The 18,511-nt window shown below is 33.8% G+C and overlaps 1 protein-coding gene across 27 annotated transcripts in view; it reads right to left on the minus strand.

Moving 5' to 3' along the window:
• Positions 1–521: 521 nt before the first annotated feature.
• The window catches only part of KCNC2 (potassium voltage-gated channel subfamily C member 2), a 169,762-nt gene continuing 151,772 nt past the window's right edge, over positions 522–18,511 (minus strand). For 2 of the 27 annotated variants that reach the window (NM_139136.4, NM_001414196.1), the window contains 4 exons: positions 10,834–11,761; positions 8,597–8,761; positions 2,724–2,818; positions 522–1,650 (listed from right to left, as the gene is read on the minus strand). In NM_139136.4, the coding sequence (NP_631874.1) occupies positions 2,757–2,818; positions 8,597–8,761; positions 10,834–11,761 (1,155 nt within the window). In that variant the 3' untranslated portion in view covers positions 522–1,650; positions 2,724–2,756. Of the gene's footprint in view, positions 4,258–8,596; positions 8,762–10,285; positions 10,433–10,833; positions 11,762–18,511 lie in introns of all 27 variants that reach the window. The other 25 variants (NM_001414202.1, XM_047428813.1, NM_001414206.1 and 22 more) reach the window with 19 other exon arrangements.

An 18,511-nucleotide genomic window follows, 5' to 3' on the forward strand; every position in this document is an offset into this window, starting at 1 on the left:
GGGAACATTATCTGTGGCAAAAATGTAAATGAACAGTTCTGCCTCTCTCATCCTTAACTTTATCACCCGTAAAATGAAAACAAAATTATCTGCCTCTAGGATTGCTGTAATGATTAACCTGGAAAACATAAATATAAATTCAGCCCTTCGGGAGGCTGAGGCAGGAGAATTATTTGAGGCCAGGAGTTCGAGAACAGCCTAGGTAACATAGCAAGACCCCCATCTCTATAGGAAAAAAGAAAATTTCAGCACTAATCATAAATACTTTATAAATGTCAGATACCATAATACTCAGTAATTTTTAAATCTCAGAATTATGAGAGAAATATAGGCAGGTGAAAGAAGAAGAATACACTGGCTATTTGCCTAACGCTTGAATGATAGATAGTTAGAGCTGTGTATGTTTTTAAATCCTTTTATCCCAAATCCTTCATTGCATACAAGAGCCTGGTGTGATACCATAAAACATAAAAATAGTAAAGTCTGTTGAAAACTGCACCACAAAGAAAAGAGCCAAGACAATAATTTGAGTAATTTAATCAGATAACATTCAAGTTTATCCCCAGCTCATTTGCCTTTTATTCTTCATTTCAGTTAGTTACATTTCCACTGGTTATCATCAAGGTTGTGCATGCGCCTTGAAATGTTCACAAAAGGTCCACGATACAGGGATTTATAATAGGCTATATGTTATATTCAGAATCCCAGGGGAACTAATAGACTCTGAAAATATTGATTAAGCAAGATGTAAAAATCTTATACAGTTTCATCTACAACAGTTTTAAAGACACGTACAAGCTTCATTTGCCACAAAACTCACAAAAAAGTAATTGATTAAAGAATATCTCTTTTATGCAAAATATACATTTTAGGATATAATTTAATTGATATTCTACTATATACTGACATTGCTCCTTGATCATTGAATAAAAAAATACTCTCATTGCCAGAATTATGTTTTTGTAATATTTATAATTGAGGTAATAATGATAAAAGACTTAAACTATGAATAATGTTGGTGAGTTCCATTTAAGCTATAACAATTTCCCAGAACTAAACAAATATGTGACTAAACATAGGTCATTTTTGATAAATGAATACTAACAATTTCACAACATAATTGACAAGCTGATTACATCAGTAATTTATAAGAAAATTATACAATCAAGTTCATAGATTCAACCAAAGAAGTAGAAATAAGGGAAATTAAGACAAAACTATACTACATCAGTATCACTGCCTTAAGTAATTCACAGCACAACCTAATGTGGGCCCATGAAGAGTAATTCAAAGAAGTGTGGGCCTTACTTGAAACTTCAGAGATGTTGATCATGAATTTGGCTTCTTTTGATGAGAAATGGCCAAGACTGTTGACCCATGCACACATGTTGGTATTTACAGTTGTTTCATGGACACTGGCCAGTCTACAAGCAGAGCACTCTCATGGGGAGCACCAGATGAGTTCCAGCCGCAGTTCTTTTATAAGCTTTAAGTGCCTCATGAAGACGCGAGGATCTCTTCCAAGTGCAACCTGGTCACATCAGGGCACATTCAGCAGCAGAAGTCTGTTTCCAGTATAGTCCTTGGTATGGCTAAATTCCACTGTCCCTTTCTCAGCAGTCAATAATCCATGATAAATTCTGTACAACACTGTAGTCAATAACAGCAGCACCAGACAGCATATTAATTCTTTTACCATAAATTTGTGTGTAATTATAATGTTCTATGTGTGGTGTTATCAAAAGAATCACTGTGTCTCTAAATATCATATATGTATGTCTGGATAAATACATTGCTGTACAACATCTCCAACATGCAGGTCATGCTCTAGGACTTGGGGATATAGAGTAATACATGTTTCGTGGCCAATAATAAAAGTGACAATTGTCTTCCTAACAAAAAATAAACATGAGAAATAGGAATTAATCAGCAGTCTCAAGGCTCCCAAATGCCTTAGTGATATTATTTATCCCTCTATTTATATTACGGTCTTTTTCTTCCCTCACATGCTCAATACATGAGACACGCTATTGCTGTTGAATTCATAGGAATGCATAAATAGACTTTCTTCCACTCAGACTGAATATGACTCCCTAAGGATTTTGTTGGAGTGTAGTAATGAATGCTGGTTGCTAGGTAGTAGAAACTGACACTGCAGCAGGCAACCAAGTGCAATGGTGAAATTGCTGCTTAAACCCTGCTTATCAAAAAGATTCACAGTGCCGATTAACTTAGGTAGTCTACAGAGCATCATTAATTTATACACAAAGCAGAGAGGCTGCTCCAAATAGCAAAAAATGGTATGGAGTCGGGTTTGGAGGGAGTAAATATTAAAATCATAAACATCTTACAGAGGCATTTCTGTGCTTCATGGAGACAGATGGCATATACAGGAAAGACAGGGAGCTAAGACAGACAAGAACAACATACAGGACAAAGCACCTGATTAAACACTGCCTGAAAATCTGATTAATCTTTTGACTCAGGAATTTAAGGCTAGTCAAAAAAGCCTTCTGTGAACACCAGTGACATTTGATGTTTGCACAAAAAATTAATAAATAAAAATAAAATAAGGGGGTAAAAAAAAGACACAAGAGCTTTGGGTGATATTTGGCACTCTGCCTCTGAAAATGATGACAAACCCTGGGTATTTTTTTTTTTTAAAGAGTCTAGAACCAAGCAGCAATTTCTGGCTAAACAATGCAAGCCTGGCTGGCAGTTACCTTTCTCTCATGTTTTGTGCCTTCCCCAAGTCATTAAGTAAGAGATCTGGCCTCGGCTTGCGTGTAACCAGTAATGACAACCTCTTTGCAGTTATCTGTGTGCAAACAACCAGAGACATTCAGAACTCCAATACAGCATTTTTGAAGAAAAGTAAATCAATCAAGAAATTAAACTATTTAAAACATATATTTCTTTCAAATAATAAGAAAAAAATGTCAAGGAGAAAAGTGCCCTCCCTGCCCCACAATTCAACATGCAGAACAGTCGACCAATGCTTTCATATCAGCAGGATGGTTCGATGCAAGTACACATATCCTGAGCTATCCACAGTCCCCGAACTCTGCAACATTGCTTTCAGGTGATAGAGACAAGATGGTCCATGCAAATGAGCTGACACAAGTCATGTCGTGTGCAATCAAGATAGGATCCCAGACATCTTCAGAATGGTTTACAGTCACAAGAAATAAAGTTCCAATGAAGTGGTTGGCATTTGGAAGCACACTGTTTTAAATATATCTCCCTGAAGGTATGTTTATATATTAGTGCACTGGTCAATATCTGACACTATCTGTCATTTTATTGCAAAAGGATATCAGGGCAATTAATAGGAGGGATCTTAGCACTACTTTAGACAATCTTTAAAGCCTGGGTAAGATTCATTAGCTACCCAAGTGGCATTTCTGACTTCAAATTGTAGTATCATGCAAGATTTATACTGTATTAATGGAGCCTGGAGTAACTCTACATTTAATTATTTCCATTATGGGGTAAACAGCACTTGAATTAATACAATTTAGCCGACTGATGCAGTTTGGTTGTTTGGTTTACAAGATAGATGGGATGGGAGATCGAGAGCGCCTCAGAGGACAAGGAGAGTTGTAGGGTGATGTTACTGGAGAGAGCCTCAGAGCATTGCCTGCCAAGCCCGCTATGTTGTTTAAGCTTCGGGATTTTTCATATCCTTTTATGAAAAAATGCACAGACATCAGTTGAATTCAACCAGAATATAGACAGACAAATAATACCATGCAGGGCAATCAAAAGTGCTACTTTCAAGCTCAAAGAAGAATTTGTTTACAAAGAATTTAATATTGAGACAATTTATAACTCTAAAAAAATGAAGCTCACTGTAGTTGCCATTTTGAAAAGATTAAACCAGCCATCACAAATTATTGTTACAATACTTCAAAATATATTTTTTCCCAGATTATAGTTAGCATTAATATAATTTTGGCATATAGAATACTAGAACTCATTTAAAAATTAGGCAAAGCAACTTAAGTAAGATATAAGCTTGACTAATATTTTTAAATTTCAGAATGTATTCTTGAAAAAAAGAGAAATAAGTAGGCTACTTTTTCTCTTTTCATTTTTTATTTCCTAAGCCAATAAAGCATACTTAAGTTTAAATGGACAACTCTTTTTCCAGCATATTTAATCTTCCAGCTTTATAGGGTTAAAAGATGATTCTTAAATAATGGCATTTGGTGCCATTATCCAGGTGATGTAGGATGGAATGCCCATTTCTAATTCCTTGGGTAAGAAAAGTAAAGGAAAAAAAAAGAAAATGAATGAAATATAAATTAAGTCATAATTTCAGTGAAATAAGTTTGAATTTGATTACATGATGTTTTCAGCTGATTTCCACCCCCGACCTTCCCACCCAGGAATTGAGAATAATTTGGTGTTAATTCATCTTTTCTTTCTATTATATCACACCTTGATCTTTTGTTCATGATAGCTACGAACTTACAAAATAAAAGATGCTCTCATAAACTTTAGTCTTATTCCTTAGCTACTTAAGCAACCCTATCAAGGTCACCTTTGGAAATATTTGCATATTTTAGTATTTTTTATTACAAAATATTACAGACAGTTAAACGAGGTGGAAAGCACCTAGTATAAATTTTGAAGTGAAATATCTTAAAGCAGGGCAACTATTGACTAAAAAAGTAGTCATGCTACAAAGCTTTGGAGATGAATATTCTGACAGCTTCTTGAAAAATTGTTATAGAACAGGAAAATGAAATTCTTTTTTGGCAACCAAAATTGAGCAAGTAGATACAATTCTAGTGGACTACTTGCCTCCCTTACACTATATGACTTACTTTTTGGATTCTAATCAGACCTCAGTGTACTCGATGAGTGTGTGAGAAAAAAAAAATGGGTCCATTGTTTTTCTTTATGTACCTTTCAGCTATTCATCTTTAATTCAATCTTTTCATGGAACTTCCAGAGAAGAAGCCATGGATAGCTTTCCTCTTTTCATTGGAAGAGAAAAAGTGATGTATCTGATTATTTTATGTATGAGAGGCCAAGACAGACATAGGTATGGATCGCAGTAACAGCTCTCTTACGGGGTAAAGCTCTCTTATGAGGTGAAGCTGGACTGGATAAGAAAAGAAAACGATGAACATTCCCCTCCCCTCACAAAATGCACACACATTAACCTTCAGCAGACTAGTTGCTTTCTTAGAAATTTTGTAGATAGAAATTTATGTCATCCATTAACTATGATAAATGTTCTCTAGCACATAGTCTCTGCTAATTAAATAATTATCTGCCAATGTTTTGTTAGTATTCTGAGCTATAAAACATGAGAAGTGGTATATATTTCATTTTATGTTGGTGAATGATGGAATAGTGGGAGGATATCTGGAATAATATTTAAGAATTGCAAGTAATTTGTCCCTAAATAGAAATTTTCACATGCACAGAGGGTTAGTTATTACTGCTCTTCTGAAAAGTGACTGAAAATATAACTTTGGGAATTGTAGGAAAAAATTATCCTATGCCATCGAAGTTGACTGTATAACCTAAAAACGTAAACTAGACGATAAACATTGATTGGCTTCGATTAAAGGCGAAGTGGTGAATATGCATGAACTAAATGGGCTGTTAATAATTATACATCATCACACAGATTTACAACTCTGTTCTCTACAATCTCCTTGCTCCTACAAGACCCCCAGAAAGATAAAATTCTCTTTGGCAGTTTTATAGTGTTCATGCCAGTAACATATAAAACTTGGTTGCCATTCTAAATGTTATCTTTCTGAATTATAGTTTTACTATAAATATTCTATTCTGTTTATGGGTCCTATATTTCTAATGACTATAATTTCAGTGCCTATTTGAAAAGGCTTCCTTTCTAATTTAGTAACAAGTATTTATTAGTAAAACTATATATTATTCATGTACATATTTTTTCTTTATTCTACATGTTCATTTATGATTAGAAAATTTGATAAAATGTTGCTTAATCAAGGTTTTACTCGAATGGCTAAAAATATAATTCATGAGGGTAAACACTGTTGAACTTATTTTGAACTAACTTCTAGATATACAGCATTCATTTTAAATAATTCTTAAGAGCATGAGCTTATTTGTGGCAATACTGAAACTACCTACCCATGTGCTATTCACGAGCATGTTTTAGTTTATGCAATATGCTTTCTTAAAACAACAAACATGCATTCTAAGTATTGAGAGTTTACTCTTTTAGTGAATCCTTAAAGTTTTCTTAATATATGCCCAATTACGTTCATATTTTTAGCTAGAAAAATAATTCAGTGGGAATCCAGTAATTTATTTTCACTTACAGAGAGAATTTTTAAATATTAAAATCAAATCAGCAGATAGACCAACTTGAGGGATAAATAAATGAAAGGATTATATAGAAAATAAATGAATAGAAATAACAGCAGAAATCTATAACCTACAAAAAGGGAAACAGGAGAAGAAATGAATAAATTTGTGATAGATATGATAAGATAACCAACTGAAACGATTAAGTGAAGTTAGCCAGAAGTACTATCATGCTTAGTAGGAAAAAACATATAACTATAAACTACTTAAGCAAGAATGAAAAAGAGTTGATTATGATAAGAAATGACAAACAATAAAAAACTCATGAATAAATTTTCAATGATGTTCTCACTAATAAAAAGAATTTATATTTGTGAAATAAGATTGCATGTATAAATTTTCCATGCAAACTAAATATCTTATTAATTGCTTTGCTTGCAAAACTTTGCAATTTTATAGTAAAACTTTGTATTTAGATAGTGCCTTATAATTTGCAAAGCTTTTTCTCATTCGTGATTTTCTTTGACAGTTTAAAACTCAAAACATTGTCTAACATAGAAGAAAAACATTCTAGAGTTCTTTAAACACATAATCTTAGTATAAATATTACATGTGATAATCTTATTGAATGCTGCTTAAAAATGTATGTAAATTTAACATGTATATACATTGCATATAGTGATTTAAGATATTCAATGCACTTGGAACAGCATGTTCTATATAAAATATTAGTTTGATATGATGATTATTATTTAACATGTACATATATTTTGCTCAAATACTATGATAGTGTATTCACTCTCTTCAAAATATATTTAAAGATTTTTCTAGCACATATTTAATGTAAAACAGTAAACAACCAAATAAATCTATTGAGAGGATTGAAATACATTTTGGTGCAAGAAATAGATGCAAACAATGGAAGTAATTGGAATGGAGAGGTATTTAAAATATTACTCATGAAAGGAACAAGAGTCTTTTGTCTTCTCTTTTAAGTCTCAAAGGCATAGAAGCAGAGAAGAAAAATCTAAAGTGACCAAAAGAAATGAAGAGAAGTACAACATGGGCAATAAAATATTTCAAAGAAAAAGAGATTCACAAAATAAATATTTGAACCTTAAAATGGTAAATAATTCAATAGGGAGAAACTCCAATGAATAACAACTAAGCACGGTATTATTTAAATGCAGTTGTGCTAATATGAAAGTTTTAAAGTGGATTTTTATTCAAATTCAGTCAATTACCATAAGACATTATTATAGTTATTTCCCTATTCTGTCAACAAACAGAGGAAAAATAACTGTGGCAATAAAGCAACTGGAATTGTCAAAGTAGAAGCTAATAATAAAGCATACCACTTTTGACAAAAGTGGGTTATAATAGTCACGAGACTATTTTTAAAGGGGAGGAAAAGATCCCAATTGTCCTAAGGTTGTAAAGTTTACCAAAAGGGAATAAAAAACCTTTTAGGGAATAGTTTAGACAGTTGGTACAATCAAGGGAAAAGGACCCAAATGATAAGTGGGAGCTTCAATATTCTGTTATACTCTTTACCAAAGATGCTCATCCCACAATTTTTATTCATTCAATCAAGATTTATTATCTTCTAGGTGTCAGGAACAGTTCATGTCTGTTGAAAAATAGTAATAAAAGGATTTTTTATTATTGGTCCTGAAGAAAAATTCTGTAAGTGCATTTTGTGAGTACACAAGTAGGCTTTGAAGTGATTAGACATACTGTTCCATATGACTGCGGATCACGAGCCTTTGCAACCTTGAGACCCTCAGGTAAACCACTGGCAAAAACTACCTATGTACTGGATTAGAAACATTAGAGAACGTTTAATGCTTTACTTTGAGAAAAAAAAACTTATAATTGTTTTATAGTCATGAATTACTCATCAAATATGTGCACAGAGCCAATTAGTGAGTTTTATTTTTTGCAGTGAGAAAAGATAACTTTTAATGACTGCAGAGTACATTATATTAAAGTAATTGGATAAGTGATTTAATATTTACATATTCCATTCCAATTCTGCCCATAGACAAATGGCAAACCAAAGAAGAGAGAAAAAAGGATGAGATGTCTTTCAGATATGACGATCACATAGGTTATTATGTATTTTAACAAGTTTCTAAGGAGAGAAGATGTAATGAAGAGAGGAAAAGAGCACTGTACGCAGTCTTTCCTAGAAAATGATGAATGAGCATTTTACATTACTCCATGTATTTCCAACAGTTTATTGCTAAGTCACCTGTTATGATCTGATTAAATGCATGCCTACCTTTCCTGATCCCTCCATCAGAAGCACACGTGTAATCACCTGTCGTCAGTAGGAAACATGTTTCCCCTCTTCTGTTTTTGTCTCTGGTACTAGAGCGTCTGATGGGGAGCCTTTCTGGGGGTGATAGTGGCGGCTCACTTCCTGTACTGTCGTCACCTGATAACACTGGTCACAGCACCATGCCCATTGACAGACAGTGATGAATGAGGAAATGAGACAGTACAAAGAGTTTACACAGAATGCCGGTAGTCCAGTCACTCGATATACAACACACAAGAATCACATCACAATAAGAAAAAGAATTTTTATCACTCTTCACGAAAAATTACATGGAGCAAAATGGAAATGTATTGAAAAGAATAGAAATGTTTTTTGGGAGATTTTAATTCCATTTTGGATTTTATCTAATAGGAAACTGCCTTTCACACGACTAATATGAATTCAAAATAAATGTGAAAATGAAGAAGCATGTGGATTATTGTCTTACAATTTTTGACGTTATCTATTTACTCTGAATAGGAATATTTAAAAATGGAACCTATTTAAGAAAATATCTTAAGTAAACTTTGGCTTTGTGGTTTTTTAAGAGACATGCTTTTATTAATTTCTGAAAGCATTGTGTCCAAAACTCTTAATAAAAATTATTCCAAAGCACACAAACTCCGTTTCCAGGTAGTCAATTTTGAAGCGGCAAGATATTTTTGAGCATGCAGTGGAACAAGGCCAACTTCTCCAAATGTCCTTGAAATAAGTATCTGTTTACTTCTGTATCCTTGCCAAAGACTTTCACCATCCTATTGGCCTAGATACTAGCTTGTTATTTCAATGTTTACCTGGGATGATAGTGTGTCCTCTTTTCCCATGCCCTTCTTAAAGGCTCTGCATAGATACTTGAGAATAGTTTGATGAGAGCAGCAACACCAACTAAACTCTACCTTTCATAAATACATTCTTAACAGTTGTTAGATATATATTAGAAGAATTTGCATAGCAATCTACTAAATAAGCATAAGGACTGTGAATGAAACTTACAAACACTTACAAACTTCAGCTCCAGCCACATTGTTTTTTCCATTTACCTCATTAAAATTTCTAGAAGCTAAGGAGGGACCTATGAAAATGATGCCTCCTTTTTTGTTAGTTTGCTTTGTTAGTTGATGTTACTTCTAAATTATGCAAAATCATTCACATAAAATCATCATAAGTCATTTTTCTGTAAGAAAAAATGAAATGAAATTTATCTAAGTTATGGGGAATCAATAAACCCTACATTTTCCTAGTAGGGTAAAAGCTAATTAAATTGTTTAATCTGCAAAATATTTTACCTGTACCAGACAGTAGACAAGAGGTGACATCACTATTACTTTGGCAGCTGAATGTCAATTTCTAGTCGATCAACTCTACATTGTCTATAGCAATGGGGAGGAGCAGAGATTCAACTAATCTCAAGCAGTAAATCATTCAAAATTCAGTTCTGAGAGAGAGCAGAACCCAACACATTGTACCTAAAAAGGAATTCCACTGAGAAATTCAACTTTGCCATTGAGTGGCCAAAGCAGATCATCTATTCCCTGAAAAATGGTGGGTTAATTATATTACATGGCATGGACCCTCATCAAAGGGGTTATAATGAGATACCCTACTTAATTTAAGAACAATGAAAATTTAATCAATCCTCCAGGATATTACTAGGGAAGAGCTTTGTTATCAAAAAGGTTATCTTCCATATCACCTGTTTGGAGTTTAGGCCTTTGAAATGTAAGCATCCATTCTTCTTAAATAACTGCTTCTTGTGAATTAGGTTGAGATGCATGGCACCATGTGGCAGAGGTAAAACTGAGACAAACACACCAAGCCAAACGATATGGAGATCAACATTTTGAGGATGAAAGATGAAAAATGGCCAATATCATACCATCACATCGTGCAGGGAAACAAAGAAACATTGGCACAAAAGCAACAAACAGGCAAAAGAAAATATTGGCACCATCAGCAAAGGGCATTCCCACTAAAGCAGGAAAACTCTATAGACCAGCTATGCCATCTCCTACTTGGGGTTCAATTAGAAAATGCTACAGTCTAGCTATCTACAAGCCTGACACAAACACACATTTCGTGAAAGGGTTAGGGCTGAAAACTCATGAACATTTGCAGAAAATGAGAATGACTGCCTTCTGCCTAAGGAACATACTGGTCTATAAAGTATTTAATAACATGCATTTGAAGTCCTGCCTTACCTGATCTGTTATGTTCCAGAAGTCGATTGTCTTTGCCCAGACATGTGTCACTCTGTGTACTATTGCAGGCCATATTTAATTCTGTCTTGCAAAAAGTAGGTGAGCTTGCCTGAGGAGCAGGAGGGATGTGCTTCTTTCTTTTCCTTGGAAGTTTCTGCTTTGCCATTGCCAAGGAGTAGTACATTCCAAAATTATTGACAATGACAGGCACTGGCATGGCTATTGTCAGCACTCCAGCCAGAGCACACAGGGCTCCCACCAGCATGCCTGACCATGTTTGGGGGTACATATCCCCATAACCCAGGGTAGTCATGGTCACTACAGCCCACCAGAACCCAATGGGAATGTTTTTGAACTGTGTGTGCTCACTAGCTGAAGGGTCGTTAGGTTGAGCTCCCACTCTCTCGGCATAGTAGATCATGGTAGCAAATATCAAAACTCCTAGAGCCAGGAAAATTATCAGCAGCAAAAATTCATTAGTACTAGCTCGAAGAGTATGTCCAAGCACCCTCAGACCTACAAAATGGCGGGTGAGCTTGAAAATTCTCAGGATCCTCACAAACCTTACCACCCTGAGGAAGCCAAGCACATCTTTAGCAGCTTTGGATGACAGCCCACTGAGTCCCACCTCTAAGTAGAAAGGTAGGATGGCCACAAAGTCAATGATATTCAAGAGATTTTTGATGAATTCAAGTTTATTGGGTGAAAAAACAATACGGACTAAAAATTCAAAAGTAAACCACACCACACACACTCCTTCTACATACGTCAAGGCAGGATCCGTTTCAATTTCATACTGTAGAACAACACTTGTGCCATTGATGACTGGTTCTGTCTTGTTTTTAACAATATTGAAAGCTTCATGTGTTTCCAGGCAAAAAGTTGTAATTGAAACCAGGATGAAGAATAAAGAAGCAAAAGCAATAAACTGTAGAGGAAAAAGAAATAAAAAAACCCATAGTGATCTGAATCGTAATATATGTTGATTCTAATCTAAAAGCAACAATCCCTGTAAATAAAAAAGAATAACAGCATATTTAGAGGTTTCACTTGGATATGACCTAAGGAAAAGAAGATACATGTATGTAACATTAATTAGAGTGTACAGGTAATGTATTTCAGGTTCTGTTTTCAGCTTATAGATACAAAGGTTTGCTTTATGTTGGAATATAATTTATTGAGATTTTTTTGTGTAAGAAAATATAACCTGTAAAGAGAACATGAAAATCACTGTAAAGGAATTGCAAATGAAAACACACCAAAACAAAAGAGAAATTTAGATGACAGTTTATGATCCTAGAAATCTTTATGCATATGATCAAGTTTTAAACCTTTAAATTTAAGGTGCATGACACAGTGATAGAAATTTGGAAGCTACCCAAATTTAACTGTAGATTTGTATTCATATATAAAATGTTCTGGATATCGTATGGTAACAGCATGAAAAAAAATCTTTGCAATATGTGCTGCCATGTAAATTACATCAACTTCAGGTGGAGACTTGTCCAAAAGTGCAAATTTAGGGAGGAAGAATAAATAAGACTGAAAGGAGAAAAACCCAGTAAAGGAGCAATTTAAATGAAAATGTCTTCCTCTCTTGAAAATGGATCTCAAAGTGTTCGAGTAACATACTATAAAGCTGAAAGAGTTTTCTTAAATTCAATTCATTTCTTCAGCCAATAATATATGACTACACACACACACCTACCACCAACACAGAATAATAAAAAAAGCACTCATATAGTTCTTAGTAGTACCATATACTGTTGAAAGTAATTTACATCATTAACTCACATCAATCCTCATAACAGCACTACTCCTACTCCATTTTACAGTTCAGGGATATCAGGACAGAAAGTTTAAGCTACTTTTCCATGGTCATAAACTACAAAATGATAAGCCTGAGTCACTAACTTGACAAATTTAGCTGCAGATTCTGTTCCCCTCACTTACCAAACTCTCAAATGCAGAATACAAATGTGTTGAAAACCATTTATTTATGCTGGGATCACATACTTCTTAATATTAAAGATCTGAAAACTTGAAATCCAGCTGTTTGAATGAATGGCACTGTTATAGTCAGCAGTGCTAGAGATCACTAGTAATCTGTGATAACACTCAGGTTTAGCATGCTAAATGAACACCAATAGGTTCTTCCTTAAATGTCTAAACAAAAGAGTCATTCAGGAGAAGGAAGTTGTCAGTCAAGCGGAGGGAGGTTCTTACTTGAAAATAATAGAATGTATCCAAAATCCAAAGTTGCCCCTAATATCTAGTCCTCAAGCATGCCATTGGGAAGAGCTGAGACAGTTCAAGAAGAGATTGAAACCACCTCCCTTTTTACCTGGTTGAGTTTTAATCCACCAAAATGTAAAGGGTATACAAAAGGACTAAAATATCTTAGGACTGTGGCTATCTGCCTTAAAGAACCACCTCAAATTATGGAACTTCTTCTACAGTGTGCCAGTTAGTACATCAGCTGTATAGTATTCTAAGGCAGGTCATTTTCATGGCTTTGACTTGCTCTTTCATGCACATTTTCCAACTGCTCTAAGTTTTGGCAATGTGGTCTGATCATTAGCTTTCCCAGACGTTTTATGAGATAATAACATTCTTTTGTCATTCAGTTTTCCCTTTGTACAAGTAAATGTACTACTATTTTTTAATCAATCATTTGTCGTAACACTTAGTATCATAAAGATCCTATGTACACATTAAAAGATAACCTTTCAGAGGAAGAATCAGTTATCCTCTATTCATAAATTACTTCTTAATCTAATCCCAATTTTATCTGTAGATTTAGGAGTCATGATTGTTTCTTATTCTACCTAAAATCTTTTGTCATTAGAGTCCTGCCAATATGTACCTACTAACTCCCACCCCAACTACACTCTTCACCATCCCTACTTTAGACTGAAGCATTTCAGGCATTTACAGACTCAGAAGAATCTTCCTAAAGCCTTTATAGCTCACTACCTCCTTAGTAATGGGATGTGTGTGTGCGTGTGTGTTTGTGTGTATTTTGACAAAATTTTGGTTTCTATGCAAATACTTGTGCATAAATAAAACATGTGAACAGCCTACAAATATAAACAGATCTAAGACACAAAACTTTGAAAACCAAAAGTTGCTTGTTTATGTAAGTTGTTTGGCACTTGTATTTATCAATATTTTATTGGCAATATTTAAAGGACCACACCATGATTTTGTATTTGTATTATTCTACTTTGCTATTTTTATAATTCTGTATATCTTTAGCTTTTAAGTACTTTGTAAATTTGCCAGTTTAATACCAAAGTTGATTCCATTTTCAAATATTCTTTTTATTTTCCTATTATAGTAATATTTTGCTATAATATATATTACATAATTTATATAATTAAATAATTATTTTTATTATATATAACATATATAAATATATATAGTAATATTTTTACTCTAAGAGGAAAATAAAATAATATTTGAAAAAGAAAACAACTTCGGCATTCTGAGAAAAAGACAACATTCATCTCAGAGGTAGATGATTATTTTGCTTTAAGAACAACCAGAGAGGCCAGGCGCGGTGACTCTCGCCTGTAATCCCAGCACTTTGGGAGGCTGAGGTGGATGGGTCGCTTGAGGTCAGGAGTTCAAGACCATCCTGGCCAACATGGTGAAACCCCGTCTCTACTAAAAATACAAAAATTAGCTGGACATGGTGGCACATGCCTGTAATCCCAGCTACTTTCCCAAGTACTGAGGCAGGAGAATCACTTGAACCCAGGAGGAAAAGGTTGCAGTGAGCCAAGATTGTGCCACTACACTCGAGCCTGGGCAACAGAGAGAGACTCTGTCTCCAATTAAAAAAAAAAAAAACAGCCAGAGAGGCAATGTTTTTATTTGTGAAAGCTAAAAACGCTTGTCATAATCTGGATTCTAATCTTAGGATAATAATCTTAGGATTCTAAGACAGAACAAAAGTATGCTTGACAATAACATAATAGAAATTTGGAAACTGAGGTTGAATTCTGAAGAGGGGAAAAGGAAAAGCTCTCTAAGGAGAAGGAGGAAGAGCTGAAAATGTGATGTTCAGCAAATGAGAAATTCCTTCACAGGTCCAGTAGCAGAACTTGAGAATAACAATGGAGAATATTAAATTTTAAGATGATGCCTTTTCTGTTTTGCTTTCAGCAAAAGGCTATTTTATAAAATGAGCTTGATGTTGATTCTGCTTCAAGGAATGAAGGTATTGGGCCAGCAGAGGACAAAAAGAGGAGAGAAGTTAACCATGGGAGGCGGGATATGTTATAGGTATAAGAAACACAGAAGAGTCATAAAAATAAGAATGCCAGGTAATAAGGGGAAATGTAGCACCCATGAAAATTCTTGGAGATACTGAGAAGGTACAGAGTTTCCCATGGAAGGAAGAGGAACTCAGTTTGTTAGCAATTTACTTCAAGTATCAAATGAATGGGTGACCCAGTGGCTTTGAGGACTCAGAATTATCCAGAGGCAAACACTTGGGTTGCATTAGCAAAGACTTGGTGCGCTTTATCTGAACTTAATTCTAAGCTCTTTGGATATAAAGAATGTTTTCTTTTGTTTCTGGCTCACTGAGTAGAGCTTAAATGGGTAAATATGAGGTTACATTGAATAACATTCAGCAAAAGAAAGTAAAAAGGAAAGAAATGGAGGGGAAGAGATTTTATTTGTATTTTTTCCTTCACTGAACTGAGAAATCTTCAAGGACTAGACTGGCATCATATTCACTTTTTGTATTTCTTGCTCCTTGCACGATTGTTACTACTGAGTATGGCAGGATAGATAAAGGGGTGGAAGAATTAATGAAAGAATAAATGAGGAAATGAATAAGATAGACCACATTCCAGTGGGAATTAAAATGATATGAATAAAAGGTAAGTAATATAAATCAAACAATGAAAAATGAATATTGAAGCAAAAAAAAAAGCCAAATTTAAAAAGCAAATTGAACTGGCTTATGGGTCCAAATGTCGTCAATAGTACCTTCCATTCATTCTCTTAATGGAGCATGTGTCTTAGCAAGAAAATGGGGAAGAGAATCACACTGCCATCTCTCTCTGTCTTTTCCCTGTGATAAGACCAAAAACTCCTCCAGACATTAATTAAAAATAAAATTAGGCATGCTGAATAATTGAAATGTTAGAAAGCTCTCCAGACAAGGTATGTCATGTCAACTGATTGTACAGATCTGATGCATCATCCCAGGTAGTTTCAGAGTAAAAATACTCTGTTAAAATATTGGCTTGTGAGTCTAATCAGTAGGCACATTTTTCTCCGTTAGTCATGTCCATGTATTTAATTACAGAGAATGGCCAGGACTCTTATTTTTTTCCAATCAGTGACCATGAGTTGGAAGTCTTCATAGTCCAGGATCTCCATGGAGGGTCTCATGTCAATTTACCTCAATGCAAATATTTAAGCAAATTTTTAGGTATGTATAATAGGCAGAGAGAAAGTGATGAAAAGTGGGGTATATTTTTATTTTCCTCATTTTCTCTTTCTTGTTATCATTAAAATGAGTGAAATTGAGCTCTATAACATATTCACAAATGCTTATTCATTTTTTCAAAACTGTGCCTAGACTGTGTCCTTTCTCTGTGCTACTCTCGCCCAGGATCACTAATATTGCAGCAATTTTCACATACTTTTGTTAATAATTCCACATATCCACAAGTTGCTCAGAGAGACTTAAACATTCTATCCCCAGGACCATGACTTAAAGCAAGAAGTAGGTCTTCAGCCCCTGTTGTGAAATTAGTAAAAGAATAAATTATAAAATTCTGTTGATTTGGTATGCAAAAATTCCACTGGAGCCAACACAGAATCTGCCTTTTAAAAGTTACTTCATCCTCCTATTATTTACAATAGAAAAATCAGCCTATACTATAAAATATAAAGGAAGAAAAACTTAAAAAATATAAGGCTCATCTCTATTTTGTAAATGAAAGTCAGAGAGATAATTTAATATTTGAAAATTAACATCATGGGAAAATCATGAAAATAAGCTACCTAAAATATAATACTAAGGAATTTCCATTTTTATAATTTTACATAAGTTGCATTATTTTTAGTTTGTATTTCTAAGGACATTATCTTTCCAAATGGGAATACTTCATGCCTATTATGCTCCTGTTGCTTTTCTTTCTTAAATAATAAAATAAAGACTAAAGAATTACAAGAATTTTAAATGTTCAAGTATCAGAAGTTCATGTAATCCTGTGATCCAAAATTTCCACTTTTAGAAATTTACTGTAAAAAAATTTACATTAAAGTACAAGGATAGACAAATAGAATGATATTCAATGAGGCATTATTTATAATTAAAAAATAAAAATGTCTGTCTCTGAATTGATGGTATGTCTGTAATATAGCATTCCAAGGAATTAGATACTGCAACATGTACTTACATGGAATGGTCTCCAAGGAATCATGTTAAGTTAAAAACAAATGACTGCAGAACAACAATATGCAGAATGTAATCTCATTTTTTCTCATTACATACAACTAATAAAGCAAATGAACAGAAACACTATATTTTTAGGAGTGGTTATAGCTGGGTGTAAGAGTGGCATTAAGCAGAGGTATTCCTAATGAGAAATCCTAATTCATTCCATAAATGTCTGAAAAGTTAAAATTCTCTACAAAAAACTTTAAGCATGTATTCTAGGTTTAATTTTAAAACAAAATTCAAAGTAAGTAATAACCAAGAGAAGGTTAAGCCTGATTATTCTGAATGACCATTAAGTTGATTTTATTAACCCATAGAACTTATAAATTGGAAGTTTTTAATTTTTCTTCTTTTTTACAGCACCATAAACTCAGCTGATGGTCTTAATTTTGTGTATATTCATGTCTTATACACTAATTTTGCCATAATTAACGAGTTTGTTGTTCATAGAACTTTGGTCTCTATAGAGAGAAAAAAATCTCTTTCATTGCTAAGTCTGTCCTTAAAGGCCAATCAAGTAGGAACAAGTAGGGTCCACTGTCTGGTCTGCTGGTTCCATGCAGAGCTGAGAATTAATTCAGTTTCTTCTGAGGCTGTTGATAAAATCAATTTTTTTTATCCAAGTTTTACCACTTAAAAACAGATCCACAAACATTACCACATTTATGGTATTGAATTAGATTGAAGAAAGCTGGCATTTCAATGAAACCACTATACACAATTACCAAGCTTGGAAATCAGTAAAAAAGATTAGACTTCAGGTGTCTATATATAAATGTGTGTATATATCACACGTTACAGATTTTTATATCTATATCCACATAAAGTGTTTCTATGTATAAATAAATATTTAAGTACAGATTATACATAAACATGTATATATTATAAAGATTGTTATAGAAATAGGTATAAAACAATATAACATTCACTTCTAACATAAAAAAAATACCCAAAATTACTATTGACCACTGAGACAGATGTGGTCCCTGATAAATATCTTCTACCATGTTTTCTTTATATCCTTATCCAATGTACATATACAATCCTTCCTCTATATTTTTATTTTGAGGACACAGATTGATTTAATTGGAATTGTAATTGTTTGTTTAGAGTCAAGGCCTATCCATTCACACAAAAATGTAATTTTCTGGGATACAAGAAAGAAAGGCTTGATGTGTTATTGGTATTATCACAATGAATTATGGTGTA

The sequence above is a fragment of the Homo sapiens genome, chromosome 12 (genome assembly GCF_000001405.40).
Source record: "Homo sapiens chromosome 12, GRCh38.p14 Primary Assembly".
NCBI lineage: Eukaryota > Metazoa > Chordata > Mammalia > Primates > Hominidae > Homo > Homo sapiens.